Source organism: Homo sapiens, chromosome 3 (assembly GCF_000001405.40).
Source record: "Homo sapiens chromosome 3, GRCh38.p14 Primary Assembly".
NCBI lineage: Eukaryota > Metazoa > Chordata > Mammalia > Primates > Hominidae > Homo > Homo sapiens.
The window spans coordinates 176,388,069-176,395,414 of NC_000003.12; positions in this window are offsets into that span (position 1 = coordinate 176,388,069).

Genomic DNA, 7,346 nt, shown 5'->3' on the forward strand with positions numbered 1-7,346 from the left:
CAGTAGCCTCTTAACTTCACCATCAACCAACTAAGCATTTGAGACACAAGGCAATTATTCATGAGAATTCTAGAAACATTTAGCCAAGTTATTTAATCTCAAAATAAGAGAAAATGTGGCACCTGTTTTATCTAAAGCAAAATGGGGCACAATCTGGAAGGTTGATCTGGGTACCTCATTCTTGAGGCTTTAAAAGACCTTAAATGAATGATGTATGTCAAATATGTAAGGTGAATCAAGTGGTCAATGATATAATGGTAATAGGTATAAACTTTAAACTGACTCTAAAACCTTGTGATTAAGAGATTCATGTTTATTTTAATAATATATTCATCTAATAGTATATCAAATATATTTAATCTATTTAATAAGTAATATACATCAATATATTTAACATATATATTAAACACATCTAATAATGTATTTATCAAATAATACATTCTATCCAAATGTCATGTACAACATGAAATACATGGAAAATTCAAGATACTTTGTAAAAACTTCATTAACTGAAGTAAAATCTTGACTAAGGCAATGATAAAAAAGAAATTATTGCATATATTCCTCAAATGTTAGCTCGTTTTATGGACATTATAGTACACAATTTAACAGAATATTTTAAGTACTGCTCAATATTCCAAAAATAGACAGCTGCCATATAGGTTTTATTAATCTTGATTTAAGGCACTGAAGGTCAAATTATTTTCCTCTTTCCTTTTGAATGGCCCTGTCTTGGAAGGCTACCTGTTGAGTACTATGCTCACTATGCTCACCTTGGTGACAGGATCTTTTGTATACCAAGCCTCAGTGACATGCAATTTAACCATGTAGCAAACCTGCACATGTACCCCTGAACCCAAAATAAAAGTAGAAAAAAATAAAGAGCCAATAAAATTTATTCTTGTTGTCATAGTCCTACATTATCCAAAATATATACGTTATTCACATAAGAAATTGATGGCTAAATTTTTATATATAGTTGAATTTTCATTTATTCATCTTTTTGATGCATGATGCACACAGTATTATTTTGTTGACTATCTGCATTTTTAGTAATTTGCTTTCTTTAGCATAACTTGGAATTCTGTTATTAAACCTATTGCAAAAAGATGCACTATTTCCGTGTGAAAGGACAAAAATCTCATTCATAATATGACCATGAAAAAATTGTGTCACATAAAATTTGCCACCCACCTATCTCAAAGAGTGATTTTGAAACATAACAAATAAATTATTTAAAGAGATTTTAACACAATGTGCTTCACATATGCTCAATAAAAATGAATAAAATAATGCTGGAATTCCTTCAAATTTGGATTGATATTACATATAACTCATAATGTACACACTCCAAACATTTTTATTTAATAAAGATAATAGGTACTCAAGAAAGTTGATTATTTTAAGACGTAATAAAGTAAATCATTTTATAACTTTCATAACTTTGCCCACTATTAATAGTATAGATAAATACAACTTTGTGAGAATCCAGCACTTTAAAGACAAAAAGAGAGAAAGGAGGACAAAATACTATATTTTGCACTAATGTGCAATCTTCCTTAATTTCTTATTCTCATGATCATGATTATTTCTAGACTAAAGGATCTTTATGGATAGGACATCTCCTACCCTTCCAAAAAACCATGAACAGAGGCAGCTGCTTACCTTCATATGACAGAGGAAGAGACATTTGGGCTTGGTGCCTCTCTTATAACTTTGGGTCAAGCAGCTGTAGGTAGCACTTTCAGAAATAGTTAAATTTGACCTGTGCTAAATTCCACTGCTGCAATCCAGGCTCTTTGCTTGAGTTAGTGGCAGAAATGTTTAGGAAATGCTTCTGTATTTTAGCTCTAGAATGAGTGAAAGAAAGAACACTGGAATAAAAATTGTTATATCATCCTTTGTTCTTACAGCTCATCTTCAATCAGCTTTGAAACTCTATCAATCCCACACCTGAAATTGCTCTCAAATTCTTCCCCCTCATTTACTATCTAATTATCTCAGACCTGAAATGTTGAAAAAGACTTCTAAAAATCTAAAATTTCCCAACCATTGTGCCTTCTTCAAGGAGCCTTGCACATTACTTCAAAGAATTATCAGGCATCAGGGTCAGTGCCCATTCTGCAGGGCAAAGGGGGTGGCAACACTCCCAGAGAGGCAGGCAAGTTTAGAAGATCACCCTTCGAAATGCAAAGGAAGGGAAATAAAAAGATAGCAGATGGCTTTAATAGTAACTCCCCCTAATAAATATTTATTTAAATATTTTGCATATTAAAACATTATTTTCCAATTGTCCATCAAAATAAAAGTTATATTTTTAGAATAAAATAACTAGAATAGATTGATTTAAAGCATGCCCAACAGAAAAGTAATCAATTCTGTTACTTCTTTTCTTAAAACCTGACTGAAAACATATTTGTATTTTTAGTTCATAGTCCTTTCCTCTATCCCCAACCTACATATCCATCTGCCAGCTTGACATCTATACTTGAACATCTCTCAAGCATCCCAAATTTAACATGAACAAATGTAAACTTTTTAAATTACCCCCTTAAACATTCTCCAAAAATTGGCTTATCTACATTTTAGTATATGCCTCCTCTATCTTTCTACCTGAATTATCTTTAATAGTTTTATCTCCCAAACGGCACTCATCCAAGTCCTCTTGGATTTCCCCAAAATATCTAGATTCAGACCACTTTTCTGCATCACTTCTGTCACAATTTCTGCATCACTGATGGACAAGACACAACCAGTTCTAAACTGAACTCTTGTAGCAACCTCATTACTATCTCTCTGTTTCCATTCTTGCCCCCCTTAAAATACTCTGCATTGTAGAGCAGAATAAAGTTTTGTGTTTTTTTGTTTGTTTGTTTTTTGAAATGGATTCTTGCTCTCTTGCCCAGGCTGGAGATCTCGGCTCACTGCAACCTCCACCTCCTGGGTTCAAGTGATTCTCTTGTCTTAGCCTCCAGGGTAGCTAGGATTACAGGCACACCACCACATCTGGCTAATTTTTGTATGTTTTTTGAGGAGAGATGGGGTTTCACCATGTTGGCCAGGCTGGTCTGGAACTCCTGACCTCAGGTGATCTGCCCACCTTGGCCTCCCAAAGCACTGGGATTGCAGGCATGAGCCACTGCACCTGGCCCAGAATAAAGTTTTTAAAGAATAAATTGGATCATATCCCTCACTTGCTCAAACTCATCCTCTTTGTACTGAGAATGAACTAAAAGTTCTTAAAGCAGTCTCCAAGCTCCTGCCTCATCTGATTGCTCTCTTTCTCTCCAGTCTCCTGTCATGGCTAGGATTTCAGATAAACAATATGTACCATACTTATTTCCAAAAAAAATCCATTGTTTATCTGAAGTTCAAATTTAACTGAATGCCTATAGTTTACCTGACAATCTTCATTATGACACTTTCTGATCTACTCATGACATATCAGCCACAATAGCCATTTTAAAATGTCCATCTGAACTACATCCTTTCTTGCTGTGATGCCTACTATTTCTATGAGCAGAAATGCTCCTCCACCCAAGTTTTACCTGACAAGCTACAACTCTTTTTTCCAGATTCATCTTAAATTCTACATTGTAAGGGAGGCATCTCATATGCCAATCCAAGTAAAATTGTATCATTAAATTCTCATAACACCTTATTTCCTTATTTTGTTTTCTGATTTCCCCATCATAGTTTATATTGGCCTATGTATTTGGTTTACCACTATATGCCCAGTGCTAGCAGAAAGCCAGGAAAATAGTAGAGCTTCAATATGTGTCTATAAAAGGCAGAAAAAAGAAAGGAAGGGAGAGAGTAAGTCTATGTAAAGCTTCCCTTTATTCTAAGTCTGTGCTGCTTATGCAACCTTCAGTTCTGTAGTTCAACTTCCTGAACACATTTATGCTCTTTGGACCAATGCACCTAATCTTAAACCATAACACAATGTTCAGTCATTCTTACAGATCTGCTCATCATTGTAAATGAAGAAATGGGACATTGACTTGTGGATTCAGTTTTTATCACTAGATTTTATAGGATTTGATCATTTTGTTATAAAGTCCAGCCTGATTCCCAGTCACTTCCATTTTCCCCTCATCAGCATGCCAGGAAAACAGAGGCAAGTTCTTCCTGGTCTCTGCTTTCCTACTCTCATCCTAATTCAACCCAAAAGAAATGTAATCAGCTATAACACCATACATAAGGATTTACTTTCTTTCACTATCAACTTTAATAATTTAATCACTAGTTTGATGTTATTCCAGAGAATTATATTAGTCAGTATAGCACAGTAAAAGCATATTTGTTTTAGAATTTGGAGCCAATATTTCTGCTGTAGTCATAGCAGCTTACTAAACTTGGAAAAAAATTCTGCAACCCTTTCAATGTCAGTTTTCTTAACTATAAAATTAGGATACACTATCTACTTCATGAGACTATTATGTTGATTACATGAAATTGCCTTCTGCTTAAAACTATAAATCCAAAATCCAAAATCCTAGACTTTGTAGGATCTTGGTACTACTGAACTCATTGGCCTCATTGAATGCTGCCCTTTTCTTCCTCCATATAAAGGGCCATACATTCAAATAACTGCAATAGACAGACAGAAAATGCAAAGAATATGTCTGACAGTATGTAAAGGAAAATAGGAAGTGGTGGCAATATTGGTGGACTAGACAATATAGTCCCTGTCTGAAGAAATCAACTCTTACTCAGCCCAGGCAATCATTGCCGGGTAAGAACATAGGCCCAGTACTTTCAGCTTCTTCTTTTTTTTTTTTTTTTTGAGACAGGGTCTCACTGTGTTAACCTGCGTTTGAGTGCAGTGGTGTGATAAAGGCTCACTACAAGCCATCCTCCCGCCTCAGCCTCCTGAGTAGCTGCGACAACAGGCATGCACCACCATGCCTGGCTAGTTTTGGTCTGTTTGTTGGTGTTGTTGGTGTTGTTTTGTTTTGTATCACTATCTCACTATGTTATCCAGGCTGATCTCAATCTCCTGGGCTCAACTGATCCTCCTGCCTTGGCCTCCCAAAGTGCTGGGATTATAGGCATGAGCTACCATACACTGGCCCATGTGATTTTTTAACAGAGCCCAGAACTCAAAATGTTTTTATAAAAATTTTTAATTTTAAAATATTAGGTACTAACTAAAATAATTTTAGAACTCAGTGCAGAGTCACCGATCAAGTTAGTCAGTGAAGGCATGACTTGATATGCCTTTTCCGTATACATACATGGCAAGAACGTAAATGATAACTAGAATATTTAGAAGGGAAAATATATAGTTAGGATAAAGAAAAAAGAAATATTAAATATCTCCAAAGAATGTAAATGTAACACAAAAATCAAGGAGGTAAAATTATTTTCTCCATGATGAAGACTTGCCTTTAATCATTCTCTAGTATTTCATTCTGTGGCTTCCAAAATAAAACACACTTTTAGAGAAGCAGTTATATATACCAGTCTCAGGCACTAACTCCCTCTAACATCCCCAGAATTTGGTCTATCATTTCAAGGAAGTTGACTCAACCATTTCTTTGCACTTGAGGGCACAGAGTGTAGAGGCAGGCCTATCATGAGGGAGGAACCCCAAGCTCTCTCCATCCCCTTCTTAGAGGTTTAGGAGTAAGGAGTCTAATGTTAGCAGAATTAACAACAACAAATCCAAATTCCTAAGCTCTGTGAAAAACAAAATAGGATTCTGGGGAAACTTTGTTTTTGTTGTTATTCCTTTGCTATCTTGTTCATTTTATATCCAGGTTTAGGACTAGACTGACCCCCTAAATTCCAGGGCTTTCTTTTAGAAAAGAAGTATTAAGGTTGTTAGAAAACAAATCTTGTGCTAACTTCACTATCACTGGTACAGAGCTTCCTGCAGCCAAACAAAAATCTTTCCAAATTTATAGATTTTGGTTAATTTCCCAGAATGACTTTTTAATTTTTTTTTTACTCATACCTCAACATGGAGGGAATATTTAAATCATAGCAGGAAGATTTGACAGGGTAATTTTTTTTTTAACTTAAGGGCAGATAACAGAATCTTATTTTTGAGCAATAAACCCAGCTGGAAGCATTTTAAAAATAAAATTAGCTTTACATATGAAAATGATATTTTCAAGGTCAGGAATTTAAGCATTTCACACCAAAGAAACTTTAGAAAAAGTATGCCTGTAGATACAGAAACACTAACTATAATAAAGTTTATGATGTAGACTAGCCATTTAGTTTATAAATTACATAAAGTTTATGATGTGAACCTAGATCTCCCAAAATAGCACCTTACTACAGAGAGACCATCACTGTGCCAATCTTAGTAGTGCCTCAAAATATGGAAATCAGAGCATACATCCAATGGGCCTGGGATAGGAGATTTTAAGGCAGATATTTCTTTTTTTTTTTTTTTTTTTTTTTGCTGTACAAAAATTTTTTATTTGTATCCTTATTCTACAAGTTTTTTCTATTTTAAAAATTTTTTATTTTTATTTTTTACTTTTTAAAATTTTTTGTTAAAAACTAAGACACAGAACATATCTTGTCCCACTGGGAGGTTTTCAGGGGCAATAACACGCATGTAGCTGTCATCTCCTGGAATAACAATGCCTTCTTCTGAAATACCTCCTGAAGGACCTGCCTGAAGCTGTGTTACAGTCACTTTGTTCTTTTTTCTTTTTTGTATTATTATACTTTAAGTTTTAGGGTACATGTGCACAATGTGCAGGTTTGTTACATATGTATACATGTGCCATGTTGGTGTGCTGCACCCATTAACTGGTCATTTAGCATTAGGTATATCTCCTAATGCTATCCCTCCCCCGTCTCCCCACCCCACAACAGTCCCCGGTGAAGGCAGATATTTCAAGACAGAGAGTGGTTGGAATTGGGCAAAAAAAAAAAGGTATTGAAATGTATATAGCAAAGCTAGAGTCTTAAAACTAGGCTTGACGATCAAAGTGTACGCTTTTTCAGGTTGGTTCACAGTCTTACCGTCTACGAGAAATTATATTCTGGAACAAATACTTAAGGTATTTTTTTTTCCTGTCCCCAGCATTATTTTACACAGAAACTAGAAAGTGTGTTTGTTGCCAGAAATTCTAGCATATAGATACAAATTATGTTTGGCTGCAATTTTCAGTACTTAAAATGTATATGCCTCATTTCTACAAAATGCCTCTAGTAGAAATCTGAACTATTTTTACCGTAAATATCCCCGACCTTTCTACTACTTTAATGAAATGCCTTCTCTGCCTCTAAATAGCAGCTCATCTCCTTATTCAGTGTTCTTCTTTCTGTATCACTTAAGATGTTAAAGGGATTTAAATCTTTAAAAGACTTAAGTTATT